This window comes from Homo sapiens, chromosome 4 (genome assembly GCF_000001405.40).
Source record: "Homo sapiens chromosome 4, GRCh38.p14 Primary Assembly".
Taxonomy (NCBI): Eukaryota; Metazoa; Chordata; class Mammalia; order Primates; family Hominidae; genus Homo; species Homo sapiens.
The window spans coordinates 139,906,046-139,933,578 of record NC_000004.12 but is presented as its reverse complement, the minus strand read 5'-3'; the positions used below and the strand labels follow the sequence as shown (position 1 = coordinate 139,933,578).

At 41.3% G+C, this 27,533-nt stretch overlaps 1 protein-coding gene and 1 long non-coding RNA gene across 4 annotated transcripts in view, besides 1 other annotated feature; one reads left to right on the top strand and one right to left on the bottom strand.

Moving 5' to 3' along the window:
- MAML3 (mastermind like transcriptional coactivator 3) overlaps window positions 1–27,533 on the top strand; it is a 437,432-nt gene that overhangs the window by 220,606 nt on the left and 189,293 nt on the right. The window lies entirely within an intron of this gene.
- LOC105377452 (uncharacterized) lies at window positions 1,863–6,515 on the bottom strand. Its single transcript, XR_007058279.1, has 4 exons — window positions 3,562–6,515; window positions 3,097–3,430; window positions 2,620–2,718; window positions 1,863–2,525 (listed from the first exon to the last, which is right to left on the bottom strand). It is a non-coding gene; the product is annotated as an uncharacterized LOC105377452 (long non-coding RNA).
- Window positions 24,170–24,464: a silencer, noted in NCBI's record as "tiled region #6454; HepG2 Repressive non-DNase unmatched - State 24:Quies". NCBI's record gives its function as "represses a minimal TATA promoter and a strong SV40 promoter by Sharpr-MPRA in HepG2 cells {active_cell/tissue: HepG2}" and the evidence as "EXISTENCE:reporter gene assay evidence [ECO:0000049][PMID:27701403]".

Below are 27,533 nucleotides of genomic sequence, written 5' to 3'. Positions count from 1 at the left end.
AGAAGCCCAGAAAAAGACCTTTTTGTGGTGCTGTCTTGGTGAAAATTTGGAAATATTTAAGCAAATTCACGTGCATGAGAAGGAGGCTTTTCCGTGTAAAATGCATTACGTGTTGGATGTCTCCCCATCCTGCCCTGTCCCCACCCCTTGCTCCTATTTGGAAGATGGTTTGGGGTGTTTTCGTCTCTTGACAGCAAGTTACAGAGTAAGGAACAACAGCGCCCCAGTTTACCTCAAAGGACAAAGAGGTTGGCTCTAAGGATGCTCATGGGCGGGCCCTGAGTAGGAAGAGCCAACCAGGGAAAATATAGGGACAAACCACTCCCTCCAAGGGGCACAGGTTCCATCTATCATCTGTCTTACATGTGTGGCTATGCGTGTGTCCCTTTCTTTTCTTCCTTCCTTCCCCACTCTTTCCCTCCTTCCTTCCTTGCTTCCTTCTTTTCTCTTTCTTTCTTTCTCTCCACATCTCTGTCTCCTCATAGGAATTTCTTAGTTTCTTGGCTTTCGAATGTGACTCAACCCCTCCCTTGGCCTGTCTGTCTGCTGTGTCGCTTTTAGGTTCTGCTGCCACGGCTAACTATGTTTCCCTGTGTTTCCAGATAAACTTGTGAGGGTCAGAAGCTGACAGACCAAGCTCATTTTTCAAGCCAATCTGTGTCATACAGAGACCACGGGTTTTCCTTGGGTTGGGTCCTTCTACCTGGTTCAGTCAGCTGTGAACAAAACTTGTGGAATTTGGTCGTTTTCCTTAAAATGGAGATACGAGAGATCACCATGGCTGGCGTGAAACTAGTTCTGGATCTGATTGTCTTTTCAATTGTTTGTCCATCAGGTGAACCCACTCTGAAGGGACTTTTGGTAACATTTTCCCCAAAATAAAGATCATTAATTAATTATACTTATTTGAAATGTGTGGTGATTTTAGCTTTTTGGTTGATATCTCCTTGGACTAGCAAAGACTTGGTTCAAAGATAGTGTCTATTAGTATAGAGATAAATGATCTGTAAGGGGGGCATTTAAAACTCTTAACAAGCTGTTTTCCTGCTCCCCTCAAGCACTTTGGAAGCACTCATTTATATGTAAACAATCAATATGCTAATTGCAAATAAGCCTTATCTACTTATTAAAGCACTTAACTGACTCCAAGTCCCTGTTAACGAAGCAACACTTTGTTAACCTTAGTTTGAGGTACTGCATAATCTTGAGATCAATGAAACTTAGTTTCTTTGAAAGTATTTTATGTTTTTCCCCACATGATTACATCCTTCCATTCCAGTTAGTTCAAATTAGGTGACATAAAAAAATTCCAAGATATCAAAAAAAAAATCAAGATAACAAAAACAAAAGCTTATAAACCATCGAGGAACTAATGTAAAAAGTAAGCAATGAAAATCTGAGGAGAAAGTTACTGTCCCTGTTGTGAAAAATAAGAATTGAGTACCTTTTATTTGCATGATGTTTTTTCTTACAAAAATTTGGGCAAAGAAAGGCAGGCAAAAATACTATTCAAAGTAGTAAGCAAATCAAAAAATTATTTCTAAAGTACTTTTTTTTTTGAGACAGAGTTTTGTTCTTATCGCCCAGGCTGGAGTGCAGTGGCACCATCTCGGCTCACTGCAACCTCCGCCTCCCAGGTTCAAGCAATTCTCCTCCCTCAGCCTCCCGAGTAGCTGGGATTACAGGTGCCAGCCATCATGCCCAACTAATTTTTGTATTTTTTTTTTTTTTAGTAGAGACGGCGTTTCACCATGTTCGTCAGGCTGGTCTTGAACTCCTGACCTCAGGTGACCCGCCCGTCTGGGCCTCCCAAAGTGGTGGGATTACAGGCGTGAGCCACCGAGCCAGGCTTATTTCTAAAGTACTTTTACAAAGTTCTTTTTATTCTGCAGAAGGGGAGATTACGGAAGGAGACTGCACAGGAGGATTGTTGAGCCTGGGGCAGAAGTTTAGGCAGAAGGAAGACAAAGGCTTCTGATGAAGAGGATGCAGTCCATCCTAAACTAGTGTCAGGAACTTTATTATAGTAGAAAAAATTAGAGGATACGATCCAGAACATCAGACATCGTATTAAAGCATAAAAACCTAATTAAATATTACCTAAAATAACATGGAGTAGAAAGCATTTTAATACATCCCTGCAATTTTTAGACGGTACAAGGTAAGAGGAAGAAATGACAGCAGGAACCCTGTCGTGTCCTAAGTGTGCTGGTTCATTTTAGTTGCAAGAACGATAGACTTGCTTGGGTTACCACATCTCTCATCAGTGAAGGTTTACGGAAGGATAAATGAGGTAGCCAGAAGAGGAACGTAAAAGGAAGAGCTGAACTGCAGAAGAGCGAGGCTGTGTGGCGCCTGGGACTTGGGGCTTGTTTTAATGCTCTGCTGGCGCTGTCTTGAGATTTTTTTATAATTTTTGATCAAGGGGCCCTGCATTTTCATTTCACACTGGGCTCACAAATTGTACAGTCAGTCCTGCTGCAACCAGAGGTTCCTTCCCAACAACTTGGGACACGAGCCATAACCTTAGGAGAAAGAAGAAAACACAGACTCTGCATTGCTTCTAATTCTTCTCCCCCACATCTGTTACCCCTTTTTTTTAGAGAACGAAAAATGTACCTATAGCAGTCTTTCTCATCTCTGTCAATATACAGAGCCTACTGGCCGAGCTTGAAATGCCTATAGCAATGACGGAGCCTTCAATTTCCTAACTAGAAGCTTAAAAAAAAAATCATGAAATCAGTTGGTAACATAAGAACTGAAGTAACCAACATACTAACATGAAACTAGTAAATAAGTACAGATGTCTAGTGTCACGTTACTCCTCATTTAAACATAAGAAAAAGGGACTACGAAGAGGGTACCTGAGAGCATAGAGACCAGGGAAAGTGGTGACTGAGGGGAGAGTGTGTCATGGGAGGTATGGGGACAGCACATGTGGGTAGAAGATGATTACCACGTCACAGTTTCTGCCTCTACCTATTCCTTGCTACTGTGTTTCAGTGCTTGCATTGACCCTTCAATCCTGCCAACCCTGCTTCCTTTAATTTATAAAGATGTTTCTTAATATGGCAGCTTTGTAATGAGGGAACTTACATCCTGGAGGAGTGGCTGTTTAGTATCTTCCAAGCTGCTGAGTTCCCTGATGGCTGGGACCGTTCCTCTTCGTCTTTGCACTGTCAGCCTGTCTTTGTACTAGTGAAGCCCAGCGAACGGTCTTCATCCGCACCTTTGTGAACTCTGCTCACAAACTCTGCCTGGAAACGTATTCAGGCCATGAGCACCCTTAGATTTTTTAGCATCTGTTGTGAACCTCTTCTTCAATGTGGTTCTTTTGACTCTCCTGAAGAAGAAATAGTTGGCCTCCATCTTCCACGTGGTACTTTCATATCCCAAAGAGGATAATTAAATAATGTCTTTATCTTCTTTTCTGAAATGAAAATTATCTATAATTCTGTGGGAATTGTGTCTGTTTTAGGAACCGTTGTAGCAGCTTTGTTCTGTGAGAGCCTTTGGGGCAGGAGAGACACTTTGTCTAAAATAAGGCTTGAAGTCACTCACCTGTACAAACGGGGAGATGGGAAAGCAGGTGGATGCAGGAGTACTCAGTGAGGACCCATTCCCCTCTGGGGCAAGGCTGGGCATTCACACCAGACTTCCTTATAGCTGACGGGTCTGCAGTTCCAAACTCCTTCCCAATCGAATAGAAGAAAAGTTGCTTGCTCTTTTTCCCTCCACTTCTGTCCTTCCTGTTGCCCTATGACATGGTTAAGTTGTCTATCATCCTGCAAACACATGAACACATTTAGCTCTTTCCTTTCATAATAAGAAAGATAATAAGAACATAATAAACAGAGACTGTGGCACGACAGCAGCTGACTCGCCATTGCTTCTTGAGCCTGAAAGACAGATAGTCTCCGGCAAGCACAGCCTCTGCCCATACGTTATGTACCAACTAATAAGTGTTGTCATGATTGTATAGATGCTAGTATATTTGAGTTTAAGCTGTTCCCTGCAATAAACTGCATCTGAATAGTGATACAACATTAATAGAGTAGCGGTGATGGTTCCATTCTAACTTCAGTGTTCTAAAACTCCCTGGTGACTGAAGTTATATGGCTCTGTTGTAAAAGCCTCGGAGTCATAATGGATAAAATGGGGGCAATTTCTAGTTTAGAGAGTGCTAACTATCTACCTTCAAAGAAAATACCGCTGTGTGGTGATTATCAATGCCAATGGCTAACCGCAACCACAGATAAATTCAATTTCATTGCCATCTAGAAATTTCATTTTGCTTTTTAGTGTAGTTTTCTCCTCTGCTAGAGACTTCCAGTGCTGCTAAAAAGTAACAGCACTGTTTGATATAAAGTCTAATTTTTCCCTCCTTTTTTGTCCACTCACAACAGAGCACTGAAATAGTCACAGGGAAGCGATCTATCTCAACTCTGCATTTGGGGGGCTATTGAACACTTTCCCACCGTCTTGCTTATCTCCTAGTTTCTAGCTTTGGTTTTTAATATCTCCTTTTGAAATCCTGAAGTTACCTTTGACTCTTTTCTTGCTCTTATCAAATTTGTTGTCAAAATTGATTATGCTCATATACTTCCCTTCCTCTTCACAGCTGTTGCCCTTGCCCTAATTCAGACCCTGTCTGATATTCTAAACTATTTCAGTAGCTTCCAAATATTTATCTCCTCCAAAGATCTTCTCTGTCCGCCAAATCCCCCTCCATTCTGAGTTCCACTGTGTCACTCCTGACAGGTCACTTCTCTACTCACAAACTTGCAGGGGCTCTCAACGGCCCACCAGACAAGGCCACATTCCACTGCAGCCAGCAGTTCATGGAGCTCCGGGACCCAGCTGTCCCCACGTGCTTCCCTCACAGGACCCATTTCCCACCCAGACACACAGCTTTTCTGTTTCCTTGACATGCCTTGCCTTACTTCTGTTCCTTTTTGTGCTTTTACTCAAGCTATTCCCATTTCCTTGAGTGCTTTCCCCTAATCTTTACAGATCCATATCCTCCCCATCCTTACAGATCCACAGCTTCTCCATGAAGCCTTTCATTATTTTTTCAATGGGAGTGCATTTCTCCTTCCTCTACACTCCCAGAGCAATTTAGTTGTTTCTCCAAACAGTCCTTACTCTCTGTATTCTTTTAATATGTTTTCTTGTAGCCCATAAACTACCTGAGGGCAGGGCCTAAGATTTCTTTGTAATCCACCCAGAGTTCTACTCCAGAGCCCACGGCCTTCAGCGTGGTACATGCCAAATTAATATTTTCTAAATGAATAAATCCATTTCCAAATCAATCCATGAATGAGTTTAGAGCTTATTATGAAATGTAACTATCTTCTAAGTTAAAGGAGGGTAGTAGAGGTATCGCATTGATGGAGAAACAGTTATGGATACAGAAAGGAGAAGGCCAGCATGAACCCTGTGATGTTGGATTGGAATCAGGCTAGCAGTAACTCATGTTTTTAAATGTACATATATACACACACACAGACACACAGATAGACAGATGCAGAAATATAGCTGTATGTATATAAATGGGTTAGCATACACACGTATATTACTGAGCGCTGTCTGTTGATAAGGCCTAAAAGCAACAGCCCAGTAGCAATAAGCTCACTCAGCACCTGTATCTTGTTTCTAAATGTCATTGTCCAATAAAAGGAACTAAGCCACCCTAGCAAGCAGTTGATTCCAGAGTTCAGGCAGGGCAAACACAAAATAAACCTGAAACATCTTAAAGTGCCAATAAATAAGGAAAGGCACAGAAAAAAGACATGGGCTTGTCAAAAGGACATAGGAGTCCGCATAAATGTGTTCCCATGGCCAAAGACAGAGGAATTTGAGCAGCAAGATAAAAAATGATAGCATTGGATTTTCACCCACAGAATAACGTAATAGCCAGAAGTCCATAGTTATATAAATAAATAATTTTAAGAATACATAGGAGAGAAGGGACAACTCTTTCTTAAGTAGAATTCCAAAGAATACATATAAAAGGAAAGTGGAAAACAGAACCACCATTGGGGAAATAACTGTTATAGACAAGATTCACAGATTGGTGCTAAAATTAGTGGGCAACGATTTGAGGAGAAACGGAATTTGCGTAGTCTCAGCATATCTCACTTAAAATGCTTATTTGCTACCAAGGGAAAAATTAAGTAACTTTACAGTGAAAAAACCAGCATAAACCACCCTAAGCAAGTGATCAAGTGAAATATCATATAATAAGACATATTGACATCATGAACCCCTTTATATGATGTACGAAGAAGGACACAACATCATTTTTATACTATTCTTGCTAAAAATACGTAACCTCATTCCAGTCCATTAAACAAGCCAGGTATGGTGGCTCACGCCTGTAACCCCAGCACTTTGGGAGGCCAAGGTGGGTGGATCACTTGAAGTCAGGAGTTCGAGACCAACCTGGGTGACACAGTGAAACCCTGTCTCTACGAAAAGTACAAAAAGTACAAAAAAAAAAAAAAGAAAAAAGAAAAAAACTCATTAAACACACACAAACTGAAGGACATTCTACAAAATCATTTTCATCAGTTCTCCTCAAAAGTGTCAAGGCCAAGAAAGGCAAGGAAAGACTGAGGAATTGTTATGGCCTGGAAGGCAATACTTCTCTATGGAGAAGTAACAACTAAATGCAATATGGGATCATCCGGAATAGGATTCTGAAACAGAAAATGACAGTGGTGGAAAAGATGGTGAAGTTCTAATGAGGCCTGTAGTTTAATTAATAGTATTGTATGAGGATAATTATGCTATGGTTATGTAAGCATATGGTTAACCTTGAGGGAAGTGGTGTGAAGAATACAAGCTTTGTACTCTGCAACTTTTCTGTAAGTCAAAAAAGTTTAAAGTTTAAAAAAATTAGAGGCTTTAATTAATTACATAAATTGTCATTAATATAGTAGGCATTTCTTTTTTGTTTGTTTGTTTGTTTTGTTTTGAGACGGAGTCTCGCTTTATCTCCCAGGCTGGAGTGCAGTGGTGCGATCTCGGCTCACTGCAAGCTCCGCCTCCCAGGTTGAAGCAATTCTCCTGCCACAGCCTCCCGAGTAGCTGGGACTACAGGCTCCCGCCACCATGCCCAGCTAATTTTTTGTATTTTTAGTAGAGAGAGGGTTTCACCCTGTTAGCCAGAATGGTCTTGATCTCCTGACCTCAGGTGATCCGCCCGCCTCGGCCTCCCAAAGTGTTAGGATTACAGGCATGAGCCACTGCGCCTGGCCCTATAGTAGGCATTTCTTTAACCAAAAAGGATCTAAACTACCTTTAAAGAAAGTCAAGCAGTCAAATATTCTTTTTATTCTTTCTATACATGACTTCTTTCCATGCCTTACATCTATTGTTTCCACTTGTTTGTAGATATATGGGTCTGACAGCGTGAGCAAAATCCTTTTTCCTTCAGGTCAAATAAACAGAGCATATGCCTTCTCGGTATATGGGTGTTTGGTTTTTGAAGCTGATACAGCTCTGTCTGAATCCTCTGTTGAGGGCAAGATGCAGCCAGCAGCATGTCCTCCTTTTTCTGGACCTTCCCATCACCCTAAAAAGTTCTTTGAGCAGGACCGTGGGCTGCCCTCCTTGCATCTGGCATTTCTCCGTCCTCCTCTTTCTTCTTGCATTGTGACTTGGCAGATTGCTCACGATTTTCAGTCCCAAGGTGAATGGACTGACACCCTTCACTTCCTTTGCCTTCTATGCATTCTTCTTTTCTAGTGAACCAGTCAACATACTTTTTATAAAAAACTTTTTATTTTAGAAATGTTCAAACGTACAGAAGAGTAGAGAGACTATAATAAAGCACTTGTCAACTTGATCTTAACCAGACAGGCACCCTTTCCAAAGAAAGGCAATTGTGACTACCTGAAATTAGATGTCATCAATGGTGAGGGTGAAGGTGGCACACTAGCCCCAGTTCCTATCATTCTCTCATCCTTATTTTTATACTCTCAGTTTTTGGACAACACCTTGTTTTTTTTGGCCACTTTATCTTATCAAGAGTACAGGGACTGGGGCCGGATCCAGTGGCTCATGCCTGTAATCCCAGCACTTTGGGAGGCCAAGGCAGGTGGATTGCCTGAGGTCAGGAGTTCGAGACTAGCCTGGCCAACATGACGAAACCCCATCTCTACTAAAAATACAAAAATTAGCTGGGTGTGGTAGCGGGCGCCTGTAATCTCAGCTACTCAGGAGGCTGAGGCAGGAGAAACGGTTGAATCCAGGAGGCAAAGGTTGCAGTGAGATGAGATTGCACCACTGCACTCAAGCCTGCACGACAGAGTGAGACTCCATCTCAAAACAAACAAACAAACAAACAAAAAGAGTACAGGGACTCACTAATCCTCTCTCCCACCCCTTGCACATTGCAGATTGAGGTCATTTCTCGGGATGGTTAATGAAAAAGGAACCTCTCTAAATGTTTTGCTTAGGGGTCCAAAATTTAGTTTGTGCTCAACTCACTTTTTGCTCTAAAGGTCTCATTTTTCTAAAGGAAGCTGAAATCATGTTTTGCTGATTAGGCCTCTGTGTTACTAAACACTGAAAAAAAAAAGTTTAGCGAAAGGTCACCGAACCGGAGTTCCTTCCGTTGTTAATTTGGGTTTTTCCATCATCAGTAATGCAGATTTGGGAATCTCAGGTTTTATTTCTCATGAAGCATTCTAGTAATTTTTGATCCTCAGGAAGTAATGAGCTAAATGAATACTGAAATGAGATCAAGGAAGCTCTTCCCAGAGAAGGTAGTAGATGAATAATAAGATGCTAGTTTCCTAAGGGGAACAAAGATTTTTACATCTGTGTGCAAGTAGGATATCAAAGTGCAAACCCACCCCTCTTTGAGAGAAGTAGTAGTTGGGAGTGAAGTAATGGAACCTCTGGCTTGTTATTCAATATAATCTGCCAGATGATGAAAGTACACTTTAGTATACCTGACTCCAATGATTTTAGTAATCATTTAACAATTGTACAATAGGATATGACTTCTGTTTCATGTTGGTGAGAAGGATAGAATGCTATTTCTTGATCCAGGATAACATAATTCAAGATAACAGAATAACATGGAGAAAACATTTCGTGTGTTACAAATTAGAAAAAGGGAGGAAAAGTTTTATGTAAATAATATGAAAGGTAAAGATTTCAGAGATAGTTCTTTATATATTTGAGGGTAAAATACCTTCTTAATGTACACACAAAAAAGCAATTAAAAGAAGAATACCCTGTCCATTTGTGATTGCCTCTACTCTGATCATCTCAGAATCGCTGTTAACAAAATAGTATCTTTTACCACATTTCTCCATCACTGGAATAGAATTTCCTTCTGTGATTTTATTACAATTCAGCCACTATCTCTGGATTAGAATGACATTATAGAAGCACAGGGATTTTGTGAGTTTCTATGTCTGGGGAGAGGAAAAGAGAGTAATAGGTTGAAGAAGTTTGGCGTTGGTATCACTTTTTTTATTCTGTGGTGATATGTCAAACACTAGGAAGAGAAAAGAAATTAAAATGTTTCTGCTGAGTGGAGATGGGAGTGAGTTCATGTCTTACTGAGGAACAGATCTAACATTCCTACAGACTTTACAGTCTGGAGATATAGCAAGGTACTATCAAAACAGGGTCATAGGGAGTCTCATAAATGTATTGGTCTATCATCTTTTGCAACGTTCTCTTCCTTCATAATAAGGGTAGCCAGTAATCAAGTAACTAGCTTTTTTCCCCTAGACAAACAGCAGATCTGTAACCAACAATAAGGTCAGTAACTTATGACCCTATGAGTTATCAAAAAAAGTTAATTATCTACCTTCTAATAAAGCAGGGAAACATCCAAATATTTTTAGAAAGCTTTTGATCACAGAGGTTTAAAGTCTTTAAAAATTGTTTTTACATTTTTATTAAAAGGTGTACACACACACACACACACACACAAAGACTACCCCTTAAAATATGTACATACAAAACTTAAGTAGAACACTTTGCTTCCCAATATACAAGACGAGCAAGGCATTTATCAATTTTCAGAAGGGGTTTATAATGCACTTATCCATATTTCCAGGCCTGAGATAATGAGGCTGTTCCATGAATGTTAAGTCAGGAAACTAAGGAGAACACAAGAACCAAACATATTGTGTATGTATAATATATGTAAAATCATAATGCCTCACCTGATGTCAACAGTTATGGGCATTGAAGATGACAGTCCTCTACAAGCTCTCATGACTGTTCCCAGTCAGTAACAGAGGGAAGGGGGCAGAGTGTGGTGCCCTACTGCAGGGTGGGGCTGGTAAAGCCTTGCTGTTTGCTTGGTGGAGCTTCCACCGTCTGGATCCCGGGGTGTGGGGAGCTGGAGTTTTTCTAAAGCTGGTGCAGTAAGAAATACAAAGTCAAGTCTAGGGTACAAGGCCAGACCCTCTACTGTTCCAGGGACTCTCAAAATGTGCTAGTCTAGAGACCCTGTCAATGTGCTTTTATAGTGAATACTTTTCAGTGTGTTACGTATCCCTCTGGCACCCTATCATGAGCAGAGCTCCCTCCCCTTCTGAGCACTGGGGTGCAGGGGATCCCGTGAGATTTCAGATCTACCCGGCACCCCTGCAAGCACTCTGTCCTCAAACCCTTTGAAGGAACAGCTCTATCCTTACACCCATTAGATAGGCACTACTGCTGGCCAATGCTGACAGCAGCCCTCTGCTCCATCTTGGCTGTGTCTCCTGTGCCAGGAACCTCAGGAAATAGACAAGGATTTGGCAAAATTCCTGGTGAATGGATGGCACCACGTGAGCATTGTGGGTAGCATTTCTCTGTGTTGCCAGACACATACATTGCTGCTTTCTCACTCTTCCTTGGGAAAGATGGGCCATTTTGGAGCTGATTTTGAAATGAAAAAGAAGGAGAAGTAAAAGAAACCCTAGGCTCCATATCTTTTCATATCCAGAACTTAAAAACAGAGGGAATGATTCACTTTTCTAACTTCTGCTTCTTGGGTGAGAAATAAATGTAAATCGTATGTCTAATTCCCCTGATTTTTCAGACTTAGCTAAGGCAGAAAACCAATCCATTGCATTATCGACTGGTATCATTAGCTTGAGGTTAGGGACCCACCGTTCTCTCTGAAGCAGGCCTGCCTTCTTCTCTCTGCCTGTATGTTATCCCTCTATCATTTTTGCTGTCTCTCTCCATCGCCTTTGATATGGTAATGATCTTGCACAAGAAAAGCCATTTTTTAAATATGAGTGCTTAAGGAATTAAAGGTGAGTGAGAAGGTGGAGGGTGTTAAGAAGGATGGTAGTTTGTCATTAGCAAATAAATAAGTATACCCCTTGGAATTAAAAAGCAAGCAAGCTGAAGGGAGCAGAAGGGGGAGGACAGGCGGGTGTCTTTCCAAACGCAGGAGACAGTATTACTAACAGGCTGGCTTAAAGCCCTCTTAACAATGTGCACTTGCTCTCCCTAGCTCCTGGATTGATTTCCCTCTGCCCTCCACAGACCTGGCTGCAGTTAAGCCTTGTGTCCTCCACGTGATGCTGAGCCGAATCAGATTTTCCTTTTAGTTGTTCGATCAAATTTTCCTTCCTAGAGCTTAGAAGGCACACTTGGGACCATATAGTAATTGCCTCCCCACACTGAACTGCTGATACCTTTATTGGATTGGCATAGGGTTTCAGAGGACTGTGTTTAACATGCAGTGAGCCGCAGCAATGCAAACAGCTCCAGTGTTTAAACAAGCATCCGTTAGGCCAGGAAACAAGGCAGTGCCAGCCCATTTGGTGCTCTGTAGTGCTGGCAGCTTAAGGTGAGCGGGCAACCCAGGTGCTGCAGTGGGAGAGGGCAGGCTCCAGGGAAAGTGGAGGAATTGTAGTGTCAGAGGAGGAGCTGATTCTCTTTAGATTTGCTGAAGGGGGTTTGTGGTGAGGGGGAGAGAGAAGTGTTGTGGCTAGGGACATGTGCAGAGCTCATTAATATCTCATTATGTTAGAATTGCAGTCTCCCCACAGATCGGCGTTAACGTTGGCAGTGCCAGAGGAAGGGCTTTGGGAAGCAGCAGCCCCCCTCCCTCTTTCTGCAAGCCCCAGCAAGCTCTCTATGCTTGTTTTGCACTGAGGGAATGGTGGTGTTGAATTTGTGAAAGAAGGCTGTGAGAAAACCCCACAGGAGCGATAGTGAGCAGCTCAGGAGAGGGTATGAGACTGAAAACTATAGTTTGTAAATAACAAAGTGACCAGATTTCACGTGTGCCAGCCAGCCATAGAGAGGGAAGGAAACTGACCAGAAGCTGGAAAGGAAAATCGTGGAAGTTAAGCACAAGCCACTTGGAGTCTGGATGTGAGTTGGGAGTTCGTGTCAGGGGCAGTAGATAGGCTAGCTCCAGATTCAGACCTCGATTTCCCAGAGAATGTGCCACTGGCCCACTGAGTTTGTCCAGGGCTCCTGGAGGCTCCTGGAGTGTACCAGAGCAAGTAAGGTGGACAGGAGAGGGGGAAAAATGAGGAGGAAAGAGAGCAGAAGAAAGCAGGATTCAGCCAGTGGGATTTGGTGAGACTGCGTTTTCAGCTGATCCCACCTGCCCATGTTGGTGTGAGTGGAGCAAAGGGAAGATTCTAAAGCAGAGAGAAGGTGGTGTGCAAGGGCCTATTCTCCAGATCTGACCTAGCTGAGCCCAAACCAGTCTTTATCCCAGAGATTAAATCCCCCTGTGTGCAGCCCTGGCCCCAGCTGGGCTCCTGCAGGTCACTCACCCCAGACAGTCATCCTGCGGACTCCAGTGCCGGGACTGGGGCCTCCTGGGAGGAAAAGTTGGAGCCATGCTCTGTAGAAATTACAGCCTCCCTGCAGACACTTAATTCTGCTCTATTAAGGATCAGATGTCTCCGTCTGCCCTGGACAACTGTGTGCCCTCCATTAATGAAAGGTGGTTGATGGCCACTTTAGTGAACAGTTATGTAACAGGATGTACCAAAACACAACAGTGTGTGCATGTTGTATTATAAAGGCCCCTTAATGTAATTCATAGTAAAGTTCTTTGAGAATATTCTTTTTCTGCCTTTTTGTTTTGGGGAGTTCTTATTTCTACCTTAGAATGTTCTTTCTGTGGATTTTGGCATTTGGCTTCCACTTCTAGCACCAGTGCACAGACACACCTGCACACATCCACAGAAGTGTTGCTGGTGTGGATACACAGCCAGTCCTGGGCTCAGTAAGCAAATGAAGAAGCACGTGTCCTTGGTTAATATCATATAAAGTGACAGGGCCACAGTTTGCAAGCATGTTTTGTGAAGACCTTTCTGGTCACACTTTGTTCTGACTTAACACAATATTCCATTAAAATATGGATTATTCATTAACTTACAGAAAGGCAAAAAAAGTGAATGTCATTGAAATCTGTGTTCCCTTTGGAAAAAAAATAACTAGAGTCATTAGTCATTAGTTTGTTATGAACAACAGTGCTTGTAATGAACATTTAAAAATAAAATGTATTTGATAATCGCAACCAAGTTTATTTAGGTTAGAAAAACAGTTATGGCATACAAATAGTGCTGAGAAACAAATTTAACAAGGCTTTTTTACAGCATGGCCTCTATAGCAAAAATAGTAAGATTCAGCCTGATGTGTATTAAAATCTATTATTCTTTTGACTCTGCAACTTTAATAAATCAAGCAAGAGTCATAAGAACAAAGAGAGGAAACAGCTGAACTGCTGTAATTTCCTAGCCAAATAGAAGAAAAGTCTGCCTCTTGTCGTTTACATGACTTTACCAAGCTTAATCCCATGAAAACAAATGAACAAACAAAAATGAAGACTCAATAGTTATAAATAGTAAACTAGACCTCTAGGGCTGAACTCCTGTGTTCAGCTGCACCAGGTCCCTGTTGTGGGATGTTCCACATTCCATGAAGTCTTGGCCTGTTTTTCCATGTGCTGTTCGCCTCCCTCAGTCCTTCTCAGTGGCAGGAGCAGAATCCACGCAGAGATTCTCACTTCTGCCTGTCATTCCCAACCTCTGAACTTGTCCATCTTACATCTCTTTGCTTTCCTTTCTAAGAAAGAAAGAAGGAAAGTTAAGTTCCATCCAAACTTTCTACATAAAAAAGTTATGACATCCAAATTGCCCATTTGAAGAGAGAAGGATAGTGATTCAGCAGAATTACAGTTCAAAATAAAATGGGATTTAACTTTGAGATAAAAAGAAAAAGTGAATCCTAGCTCCTTTAAGGCATTTGCCATGAATAAAACTTTAAAGTGAAATATCAGAAAATCAAGGATGAGATGGGACTTAGAGAGATCCTTCATCCCCCTTCCTCCCCCTTCTTCAATGAAGACCATATCTAAATCATCCCAGATGGCTGTTCTATTTTTAAAGATCTCCAGAAAAGGAGATTCTACCACCTCCTCAGTAACTCATTCCAGCATCTCTTGTTCCTCACTGCCAGAATATTTTTTCTGAGAGCCCTCAGAGGAAAAAAGACACACTATCCTAGATTTGGGGACCTGTAGTATTTCTCTTTAGGATTTAACCCCACTGTGCATATAGGAAACTAAGAGACATGGATAATGTCTTTCTCCAGTGAAAAAGATGTTTTTTCTCTAATATTTGGCTTTAAATTACATTTGTGTGCTTCTTGGGGGTCAATCCAAATTTCTCTTGCAGGCCTGAGGTATGCGCGGTACTCTGCTAGGTAAACAGAGGGAGCATTAAGAAACGATTCCTGTTTACATTCTAAGGAGTGAGGTCACACTCAGCTCCAGAGCCCACCTACTATGCCGGACAGAAATGTTCATGTAATCACTTATTCTTTCATTCCAAAGATACGTACTGACCACCAGTCGTGCGCTTATCTCTGCTAGACACTGGAGACAGACACATTAGTGAGCAACACAGACTAGGTGCTTGTCTGCAAGGAGCTTACACTCAAATGGGAGAAGACAATACCAAGGAAAAAGGAAGAAACAAAATGATTATAAATTGTGATCAGTGGTGTGAAAAAGACAAAACAGAAGGACACGATAAAGTACAAGTGGGAGGTGCAGCTGACTGAGCCAGGGTGGTCAGAACAGCCTTTCTGGGGAGAGATGTGAGCTGAAATCTGAAGGATGACAATAAGCCCAGCAAGGAGCTGGGATAAGCGTGTTCCACGTGGAGAGAAGCACCGGTGCAGATGCAGAGGAGGGGAAGAGCCCTCGGAGAGGCCAGCGCGGCCACCTGGAGTGTGGTGGTGAAGGGGAGAAGGGTATGAAGGAGCTGGGAGACACCAGACCATCCAGCGCCTCTTAGGCAAGTTTGACTTTCAGAGAAATGGGAGTCTATATAAGGATTTGAGGCAGAAAGACATACTCTGAAGAATGTTTTTCAACAGTGACTCTGGATGCTGGTGGAGAGTAGACTGGAAAGGGTAAGATGGGAAAAACGGCTAGTGGAACAATAGCGCAAGAGTCCAGGCAGGGAGCAGGCAGGGGAGACTCAGAAAAGGTGACAGATGGAAGGTGTGTGTGCTGGCCACACAGACACAGCGTCCGAACATAGGTGTGACCCATTCTGAGAAAACAAAATACATAAAAATCAAAACTTAAAGAGAAAGTCTGATTATTCCCTTTATAAAGGGACTCGCCTCAAGTATCTATTCTGTAAAGTAAAGGAAGATGTCTATGGGTCTTTGACTATAAATTTTAATAAGAGATATAAAACCTTAATAGACGGATCATGGAATTAGAAGGAATCATAGAGGTCATTTTCTCCTACTTTCCACCCAATAAAGAATCCCCTTTGCAAATCCCTGACAGATGAACATGCAGCCTTGGTATGAAAACTTCAAGGGACAGGAAGCTCATTAGCCTCACAAGGCAGCCCTTTCTATTTTGAATCTCTCTAATCGTTTTTTAAAAGTTTCTCCTTATATAGAGGCTGAATTCTTTCTCCCCATTACTTGCATCCATTGATCTTAGTTCCATGTTCTGGAGCTACATAGATCAAATCTAATTCTCTTCCTACATAGCAAACCATTACCTTTTCAAGAGGAGCTGTGGCATTCCCCCTCCTCAACTCTCCTCTTTCTCTAGCAAAATATCCTCAGCTTCCTCGCCTCCTTTTCACTTGACATGGTTTCTGGGGCCTTCTTTCCCCTGGTACTACCCTCTTGCTGCCCTGCCACCTGATGAGAGTGATCATTTCAGAATGGAAGCCAACCTTATTGGATGGCATCAGTTCAGAGCATAACTATGTCTCCCTGGACTCAGAGAACATACATACATTTAATGCAACCTAGAATTTCAAGAGCACACGGCTTCAAACTTCAAGGAAAACAAAACTGCTTATGAGACAGGTTTTCCTGCCTTAAATGCAAGACTTTACAGCTAGGCCCAGCAAATCTTGCTACTGCTAACCTACAGGAGAGTGGTTCTTGAACTTTTGGAGAGTCATGGGCCGCACTGAGAATCTGAGAAAAGCTTTGGACCTTCTTTCCTGAAAAAGACACATACCCACAAAATTCTGCATACAGTTTTCTAGCATTCTCAGAACTCTGGAAATCCATTTTTATGTAAACCTCCAGTTTAAAAATTCAGCATTATCAATGTCACAGAACCCTTGTTCTGTCATCTAAGAAATGTATATCTGCATTATCTCTATATTTTATTATGGTATTGTACGGGAGGTTAAAGAACGCCCACTTGAAAATCCCTGCAAGTCACTATAAAATTGTTAATGGGAGAGGAAAGTTACAAAAAGTCTTCAAGTACCATTGGTGGATACATTTGCTTATGTACCTTATTTAACCCCTACAACCCTTTTCTGAACTAGGCAATATTAGCCTTATCTTATGAATAAGAGGAAACGTAAAGCTATTAATAAAGAAAAATAGAAAGACCTGGGTGAAGGCAGTGGCTGCCGAGTGCAAATTTTTACAACTCTTGCAATAGAACCATGGTTGGTGGCCCTCTCGACTTTTAAGTGCTGAGGCCATGGCCACCTGGAGCACAGCATACATGCTTACGAGCAGGATTGGTTTCCTGGGAAATGTGTCCTTATATCGGCGCTTCAGTAGTGATATCCCTGGAAAGTGGTCACCAGTAGGATTAGCCATTACCATGACCCCACACAGGTGGCCTGCTGTCACCAACACCATTCTCTTCAGGATCAGGCTGGCATTGGGTTAGTGGCCAATGTATAGTTATAACTCAGTAACTCAGTAGCAGAAATGTTCTGAGAACGGCTGAAAGAACAACAGCCCTCATAGGAGATCCAGTTTCAGAGAGTAACTTCTTATATGCCAGCCAATCATGGAGGGGAGAAAGCAGTTCTGAGGATGCCTTCCTTTTTTTCCTATCTCAGGAGCCAGGCTGTGGAATAGTTTGGAAATGAGAAACACATTTTATTCACAAGTGGTGAGGCTTGTAACAGAGAAGCACAGGCTTTGGAATTCAAATCTCACACTAGCTGTGTGACCTTGGGCAATTTGTTTAATCTCCCTGAGCCCCAGTTTCCTCATTTGTGTAAATGATGTTTATTAACCTACCTTGCGTGGTTGATGTGGGAATTAAGAGAAAAGATCTTGAATTTGCCTGGTATTTAATGGATGCACACACAAGAAAAGCTTGCTGTTTGCTGATAACGTTGAGGAGTGCATAAATGGTTGGGGCCAGTCTGAGTAGCAGTAAATTTGGTTCGTCTGTGTTAGCAGGGTTACTCTGGCTTGGACCCGGATTCCAGAGTGATTCCGGAGGAATTCCTGTCCCCATCCCTACCCCTCATCACCCCAAAATTTTGCTTAAGATAACGAGGAGGTCAGGGCATGTTCACTGTGAACCCCCACTCCATATAAGGTGCCATGTTATAGTGGGTTCAGAGGATCCCCGCCCCCCCGCCAATGCTGCTTAGCCACCAGACTTACAAGGGATACTGGATGCTTTCGTACCTTGGATTCATACACACAGGTTTCTGAGATGAAGCAGTGTGGTAACTTAGCCATTAGTAGATCTCAATCGTAGCCTACACGGACATTTCTGAGAGAATCCTTGGTTAAACAGTACTAAGAGCAGAACTAAATACTGGTTAGGGCAAGTTCTGCCCATGAGGTTCTATGAGGCTCTGTCTGAACGTTAGGTTTAAACATAGAGATGGGGCCAGCTAACCTCATCATTCTGAGTCGTTAGATAGAGACTAGACTTGGTCATCTCCCTTTGCTAATAAGGAAACTGACATAATTAACTGAAGGAAATTAACTTGGATAATTTTGCAGCATGAATCTGCTTCCAAAGAGGAGTTGGTTTTTTTCTCTTCCTGTGAGCTGTTAATTCAAGAGGCTGTGTTAACCTGCTGCTGTTGCCAACTGACAAATGTAGTATTTTCCTGATCAGCCTCTCAAGCCTTTTTCCTTGCTCCTCCAACAACAGAGAGCAGTAATAAACTATCCAGAATATTTTGCAACATGGGAGTCATTTGCATGTCTTTGTAATATGGGAGTTGAATGCCTATTTTCAGTAAATATAAGCCTCCCGGTTGACTTAAGGTAATTGAATGATTTTAGATTCATTGTATATGCCCTTTCTCCTTAGCCACTGGTTTTAAGCAGGCATAAAATCACATCAGAGAAAAAAAAACCTGACTTTTGATATTCAAGTTGGCTCATCTGAATTAAAACCAAAACATGTGGAAATTGGGTTATCCACTCCAGACTTGGCTCCCTTTGTCTGTGAAACCTCAAAGTCTCCAGTGGAGCTGAAGGTAACGTCTTTCTTCAGGTGACACTCTGGGGCAATTCTGGGGAAAAAGACAAGGAGGGAAAGATGTGTTTAACTTTATTCCAGTTGGTTTCATCTTCCTTTTTAATTGATTTTTGTCCTCTCCATCATTTTCTCTCCCAATTAACGTTGAATTTCTCTCATTTAGTTCTAGCTGTTTGTTGTGGTCGGGTTTGGTACATCTGGGTTAGGCATGTTGCTGTGTTCTTTTCTTTCCTTGCCATTAGTTTAAAGGAGGTCTAAGCTCACAGTCTAGCTCTATTTCTGGAGAGACCTGCCACCTTTACAGGATTTACTGTGGTCATTTTCTTTTTTTTTCCTCCCCACAATATGGCGCTTTGTGAATTAAAATCAAGGTTCCTGGGGGCTGGAGGTAGGAATAGGGCAGGAGAAGCCTAGCCACATTATAATCAATAATAATAATAACTGTCTCCCTCTGTTGTGAGCTCTACCAGGCAGACTGTGTCTTATTCATCCCTAGCTTCTTACATAGGTCCTAGTGTATAAATGATGCTCGATGAGTGCCTGTTGAATGAATGAACTAATTTTTGCCGAGCCCTTTATAATGTATAAAGATGCTTCACATAGCAACGTGGGGTGATTGTTTTTAAGACCTTCACAAAACCATTTCCTCCCTCATTTCATTATGATTGTGAAATTGCTTTGGAATTTTGGAACTGTGATACTTTTACTGTATGCCTTTCATAAAAAGCCAAAGTCTAAATGCTTTTAAAAATATATATACGAGGAGCTGTGGAAGGAAGGGAGGAGGGAAACAATTTGTTACTGGATACTTTCTTGTAAAAAAAAAATTTTAATGTAGTTATCACTGGATGTTTTTTCTTTACAATTGCAGTTCACAACTCTTTTCCTCCTCTTTTACTAGGATGAAGGTGAATTTTAACAAAAGCAAGAAATATTTTAAAGGCAGAGAGCAAGTGGGCAGCCAGGGAAAGCTTTGTGTTTGTTTTTATGACTTGTGTTTTGACTTGGCAGATGTTCAAGGTTATTCTGCCTAACCAAATAATCCACACTGCTTCCATATCAGCAATAGCTGAGCTACCCTTCCAAGGGGCGCCCGCCGTAGTCTTCTGTTAAGATGTTATGCGGGACCTAAACCCTTGTCTTGCACTGAAATCAGTGCAGCGCTGACACCCCCACAGCCCCTTGGTTCTTTTGCTCTCACAGCCATTGAACGTCTGCTTCTGAGAGAGTCACCCAGGAGTACATAACCGACAGCTTTTTCTTAGATGGCTTCATCTGTTCGCACTCATCACCAGACCATTAATGCTGACTTTTCCCCCATGAAACTCAAGTGTAAAAGTAGGAAAATAATTGGATTTTTTATCCAAAAATCATTGGCACTTAGGACAAAGACCAAAGTCAGAAAAAGGAAAAAGCAGACAGATTTAGAAATTTTAAAAATTAGATATGTCTTTGACTTTTACAGGTGAAGTAAGAGCCATACTTAGGATTATAATCCATAAAAAAAAATTAGGGGACAAATTAGGTGAAATAAAATCCAGAACTTCCAGATGATGACAGCACTAAGGCATTACTTGTACACATCTACTCCACATATTTCTGCCCCAGGATACTGAGATTTTTTTTCTCCCCTCTTGGTTCTTAGAAGCATACAATTTAGTGTGTTCATATGCATGCCTCATTTATGCCTGGAAAAGACAGAAAGAAAACCCTTTAGTAAGGACTGTGATTCAAAATATGTATTACATTGACTTATTACCTACATTATCACTGTGTGTCAGGAAGCATATTGCTCACAGGTGGGATGCACAGTAATTTGGAAATACTCATTTTGGCCTTGGCATAGGATGACCTTGTCCTACTGCAGATTCATGCCCTGTGGCTATATTAGTTCCTAGGGCTGCCATAACAAATACCACAGACTAGGTGGCTTAATACACTAGAAATGGATTGTCTCACAGTCCTGGATGCTCGAAGGTAAAAATCAAGGTGTCAGCAGGGTGAGCAGGGCCGTGCTTCCTCTGAGACTCTGCAGAGAATCCTTCCTTAACTCTTCTTGGTTTCCAGAAGTTTGTCAGCAGTCTTTGGCATTCCTTAGCTTGCAGCTGCGTAACTCCAGTCTCTGCCTCCGCCGTCAAACGGCACTCTCCCTGTATGTCTTCGTGTTTTCACATGGCTGTCGTCTTATAAGATGATACCAGCTGTGTTGGGTTTTGCCTGTTCTACTCCAGTATGACCTCATCTTAATGAATTTCATCTGCAAAGATCCTATTTCCAAATGAAGTCACATTCTGAGGTACTGAAGTTTAGGACTTCAATATATCATTTTGCTGGGGAGGACGCAATTTAACCCACAACAGTGCCTAGACTTCTGCTTCAGAGCTCAGAATGTTACCTGTTTTCCTGTAACGGACTAGCTGTACGAAACCTTCATTTACTTCTCTCCTCAACCTTTATTTTTTCCTCCTTAGCAGTGTTCTTCCTTGGAGATGATAACCTTGTGTCAAGGTCATTGAGAAAAGAAAGACTATTAGAGCCAAACTTCTTTGTCTCCACCTCTCCCCATTCCATCTCAACAAATCTCTCCCCCACATTTGTTTTTTAATCACTCTTCTGATGGCATTGATATGCCCTTCCTCATTGTCTCAAAAACAAGCACCTCTATGGGAATGTAAAATGATGCAGCCACTATGGAAAACAGTATGTCAGTTTCTCAAAAAAAATTAAAAACAGAATTACCATAAGATCCAATATTCTGCTTCTGGATATTTAGCCACCAGAACTGAAACAGGGTCTACAAGAGATATTTGTATACCCACATGCATTACTAGCATTATTCACAATAGCCAAAATGTGGAGGCAATGAATGAATGGATAAACCAAGTGTGGTATGTACATATGTTTTAGTCTTTCCAGGCTGCTGTAACAGAATACCAAATACTACATGGCTTATAAATAACAGAAACTTATTTCTTACAGTTCTGGGGGCTGGGAAATCCAAGATCAAGGTGCCAGCACATTCTTGTCTGGAGAGGGCCTGCTTCCTGGATCATAGACAACTGTCTTCTTCCGATGTCTTCACATGATGGAAAGAGTGAGGGGGATCTCTGGGGCCTCTTATAAGGGCACTACCTTTCATGAAGGATCCACTGCCATGACTTAATCACCTTCCAAAGGCTGCACCTCCTACCTAATATTAATACCCTCACCTTGGGGGTTAGGATTTCAACATGTGAATTTCAGCAAGGAGACAACCATTTAGACCATAGCAATATACCATGAAATATTTTTCCGCCTTAAAAAGGAAATTCTGGGCTGGGCGCAGTGGCTCACGCCTGTAATTCCAGCACTTTGGGAGACCGAAGTGGGCAGATTGCCTGAGCTCAGGAGTTCACAACCAGCCTGGGCAACACAGTGAAATCCTGTCTCTACTAAAATACAAAAAATTAGCTGGGTGTGGTGGTGTGCGCCTGTAGTCCCAGCCACTCAGGAGGCTGAGGCAGGAGAATTGCTTGAACCTGGGAGGCGGAGGTTGCAATGAGCTGAGATTACGCCACTGCACTGCAGCCTGGGCAACAGAGCAAGACTCCATCGCAAAAAAAAAAAAGGAAATTCTGACATGCTGCAATGCAGGCAAAACTTGAGGACATGATGCTAAATGAAATATTCCAGTCATTAAGAGATAAATATCGTATGATTCCACTTATGTGAGGTACGTAGAGTAGTTAAATTCATAGAGACAGAAAGTAGAGTGGTGGTTGCCAGAGTCCGGGGAATGGAGAGGATGAGGAGTTGTTTCATGAACACAGAGTTTCAGTATTGCAAGATGAAGATTTCTGGAGGTGGATGGTGGAGAGATGGTTGTACAACAGTGTGAATGTACTTAATGCCACCGAACTGTACACTTAGAAATGGCTAAGATGGTAAATTTTCTTTTACTAATATTTTAACCACAATTATATATATCTGTATGCCTGTATTATACTTCTCGGACTTTCCAACACACATTTTCACTTGTCCTTCCTTCCTTAGTGTCAATAGGTCCTGCTTCCTGACTTCCCTTCTCCTTCACACCCACTCAGAACTTACTTCTCCTGAAAAAGCCTTTAACTTCACCTCATGACATACAACCTATGATGCCTTTTTTCCTTCTTGCAACAAGATTTCTTATATAGAAGAGTCACACCTAATATCTCCATTCTTGTTCCTAATATCTCCATTTGCCTCAGTTCCCTGACCAAAAACTGGCATTCATTTACAGTACTATTCTACAACTGTGCTGTCCAATATAATAGCCACTAGTTGCATGTAGCTACTTTGAATTTATTTAAAAATAAATACCTCAGTATTTAAATAAATTTGAATTTAATTTAAAAGCCAGTACCTCAGTAGCACTAGCCACATATCAAGTATTCAGTAGCCACATGCAGCTAGTGACTGAAGTATCGCACAGTGCATCCTCTCAGCAATGTTGGACAAACAACACAGTTCTTGTGCAAGGATTCTACTCATCACAGTCATCTGGAGGGTTTATTAAACCACAGTGTGCTGGGCCCCACCCTCAGAGTTTCTGATTCAGAAAGCCTGGGGACTGGCCGATAATTTGGATTTCTAACAAGTTCCCAGGTGATGTTGAGGCTGCTGAGTGTCATAGAGGAACCCTCGCTCAGATTCTCAGTGAATTACTTGGTTACTAACCTAGTGGTCTCTTAGTTCTCATTTCAGAGCTGCAACTGACACTACAAATTTGACCACAAATTATTCTTCTTTGTTTTGTCCTACTTTCTTGATGATGTTTTATGTTGATCTCTCACCAATACTGTTTTTTTTTATCTCTTTGCTGACTCCTCTCATTTAATTAACAGGACTCATTTCCAACTATGCATTTACTTTCTTAGGGAACTTCTGTGCTTATATATTGTTCAGGCAGACTCATGTGTATGGCTGGATGCCTCATTTCTACGGCCTTATCTTTTTTTTTTTTTTTTTTTTTTGAGACGGCATCGCACTCTGTGGCCCAGGCTGGAATGCAGTGGGGTGATCTCGGCTCACCACAACCTCCACTTCCCAGGTTCAAGCGATTCTCCTGCCTCAGCCTCCTGAGTAGCTGGGATTATAGGCACATACCACCATGCCCAGCTAATTTTTGTATTTTTAGTAGAAATGGGGTTTCACCATATTGGCCAGGCTGGTCTTGAACCCCTGACCTCCACCTACCGCGGCCTCCTCAAGTGCTGGGATTACAGGTGCGGGCCACCGCACCTGGTTTAAGGCCTTATCTTTGGGTTTGTGGGATAACTGTATTTGGCTATACCACTGGTCTTGAACAGTATGATGTTAAAAACTAAGCTGTTCTATGTCTGCCCTCTCTGAGTGGTGAGTTGATGCTTCCCAGGTCTTTGATAATTGTTGGTATGTATTTCTTTCAGCGATGTTGAGATACTTGCATCAAAAGCTCCATAGACGTGTCAAGTATTATGTATACCTGTTCGTTAAATATTCATGCAGTTAGAGAAGTCACCACTGCAGAGGGCTGAGTAATTTCCTTAATGCTTTTCCTCATGGTGGCCAACTGTTTTATAGACATAATCTGACTAATCCTTTCCATGAGGTATAGTAGGGGTCAGATGTGAATATGCCTATTTTCAAATTAGGAATTGAGGTACAGAAAAGTTTAACAGAGTGATCAGAGTCACGAAACTGGTTCTGCTTCTGCCAAGGAACTCCAGTTCGAGTGCAGGAGTCCTATGCTAAGCCCCAGACCTCCACGCAAACCTCTAACTACTAGACAACACTAAGCTTGCAGGTTTAAAACATAAAAAGAAATTGCTAAATGTGATTCAGGGCGTACTTCGCATAATGTATTTCTGTGACACTTCATAGTAATGAGATAATTACCATGGGTACTGTATTAGAGTATACATATTCTGTTAAGTTACAGCTGCAAGAAATCAGTAATGGCCATTAATCATTCCATGTTCATTCTCTGCGAATCTCAGATAGAAGTTAAGCTCAGAGTTCCAACAAACCTAAGACAAATTTTATAGTCATCATTTCTGCTGTTTACATGAAGTTTATGAATACAATAGACTTTCCCTAATTTAAACTAATTTGGGCAAACAGCTGCCTGAATTGAGAAGAATGTGAATTGAAGTATGGTAGTAAATATATACTGCTTGTGATATATTTAAAAGTAACAACAGTAATTCAAACTAGACTAGTGAGCTGTTAGTAAATAAACATCCTTGGGGAACTACTTAAATATCTGAGAAGAATTCATAATACATGTATCAATTGCTTATTTAAATTTGAGTTCTTGAGTTTTTGAGACTCATTTCTATATTAAGTAGGTTAAACATTCCCCTTATAACCTTTATTATACCTATTCTTTTACACAGTAAGCTTTTATTGTACATAAGGATAAATATTCAATTGGCCCTTAGCCAAGTTACAGCTAAATGCAAAATTAGCAGGAATTGGATTAATCAGGTTTTACTACACAGTATACAGAAATAGTGATAGACAAACTTACTATTTTCAAAATCAGGAATTAGTTACATATTTTAGAAGAGAATATGTAAACATATGGTTTACATAAAGTTGAAAGGAAATCTAAAATGTCAGTTTGTTCATCTTCCAACTATACACAAGTAAACCTAGACAGATTATACAATTCTGGGCTGTTAGATCTATAGGGGACTTCAGAGATTTTGTCCAGGGCAAAAATGGCAGCAGAGCATAGTTAACTGAGTTCCAGAGAGGATACAGCTTGGCCATGAGAGACGTGATTCTAGGTCCCAGAGCCCCTCACTCTAAGCTTACAATAGGTCCACCATCCATCTGCTTATTCTAGGTAATACATGCAATGTGGACACCCAGAAAAGGTAGACGGCTTCTATATGTAACCTGGTCCAGTATCTAGTTACCCAAACTGACACGTTCAGACCCTTGATGTCACTTAAGGCCGTTTACTCAAAATCATTCACGGTGAAGAAGAATAGTGCACAGTTGTATAAGTTAGCCAAGTTGTGGTTGCCAGAATGGGATACAACATTGTTGTCTGTGTCAGACAAGTGTTATGCATGAAGGGGAGCATTTTCCAATAGACAGGAGGAAAATTAAAACATGCAACAGCCTACAAATTCCTTTGAAATCAGGAGACTTGTGCATCTTTTGCATCCTCTGCACTCAGCTCAACACCTGACACCCAATGGGCCATCAAAAAGTCACAAATTCTTTTGAATGAGTCATGTAATTTAAACACTTGGTTTTCTGGCATTTTTATAAAAGATAATTGTGATTAGGATTCAAGTGTAATTTTTCTTTCATGTTTACCAAAGTCAAGAAACCTTGGCAGAAGAATGTAATGAATTCTTGTTCTCTGATGTAAAATAAGGATCTTATTTGGTAACTACCTGCCAAGTTCAGAGTTAAGAGTGCCTTCCAGGGTGACTTTGAAAGTAAGTTATTGATTTGTATCCAGAGTCCAAATAGGGACTCTTAGAGCTGGAACAAACCTTGGAGATCATGTAGTCCAACCCTCTCATTTTATAATTGAGGAAACAGAGGTCTGGAAAGGTTAAGTAACTGCTGCCTGATCACATAATTAAGTTTCTTTAGTTACTGTGCTTTGCTGAAATCTGGAAAACACCACATGCATATTTTTGCTTTTCAAGTTCCTGACATTTTCTGTTGTGTACACTCAGGGTATTTTTAAATACTGATAAGCATGTGAATGCAAACCTCATGTAGTCAAATCTGGCAGTGTGGTCAGTCTTCAGTGAAATCTATTACACTGCCTTGCTTGATACCTTTCTGTTCAGCTCTTTTTGATGTGTGGTGTTTAGACAAAAGGTAACAAAATATTCAATGCAGTAAAAATCTTCCTTTCTTTCACATTCACATGACTTCAAAAATATCTCTAAAGTCATCAATTGTTATTACAAAAAAAAAAATTGCTTCTGAACTGAGACCAAGGTGAAAAAACTCTGTCCCAGGGGAGTTTTAGAGAGCTATAACCATGCAAAAGTAGGTAGTTACAGAAAATATTATGCAAACTTAACTGTAGCATTATAATGGAAACTGCATAAATAATATGTGGATGGCTAGGTAAGAAAGATAAAACCATTGAAATACATACTTTTTACTCTACAGTTTTACAGTACGTTTACAATGCACCACAATTTGAACAGAAAGTTGACAAACTCTGAACCTGTTTTAGGCAAAGTGATTTATCGCATGAGGCACTGGGCTGGCGCAAGAATCCTAACCATCATTCCTTGTTCTTCCTCTGAGTTACATTATGGCCCTGGTCTCTATGCCTCGATTTTCCCACTGTACATCTCTCTGCAGTCAAGTGGATTATGGAAAATCATCGTAAAGTGACATTTACTAAGCTGCAGGGAACAAACACTTACTATTCAGAGCCTCCTAAAGTCATGGCAGGCTAACTTTTGCCTCCTCTGAGGTTTTGCTTAGAGTCATCTCTGACTATACTTCTTTGCTAATAGTTAAGGAGTGAATGTGAAGTTTCTTCTGAATTTGGGAGACAAACACTTTTGAAAATATATACATGCTGGGCAGGTGGTATGCACCCATAGTCTCAGCTACTTAGCTACTTAAGAAGCTGAGGCAGAAGGATCACTTGAGCCAGGAAGTTTGAGGCCAACCTGGGCAACATAGTGAGACCCGCCCCCCATCTCAAAATAAGTAAATACATTAATAAAAATAGGAGTATACATATTGTTAAACTCTGAACCAATAGCAGTTGTTGAGTTACTTGCCT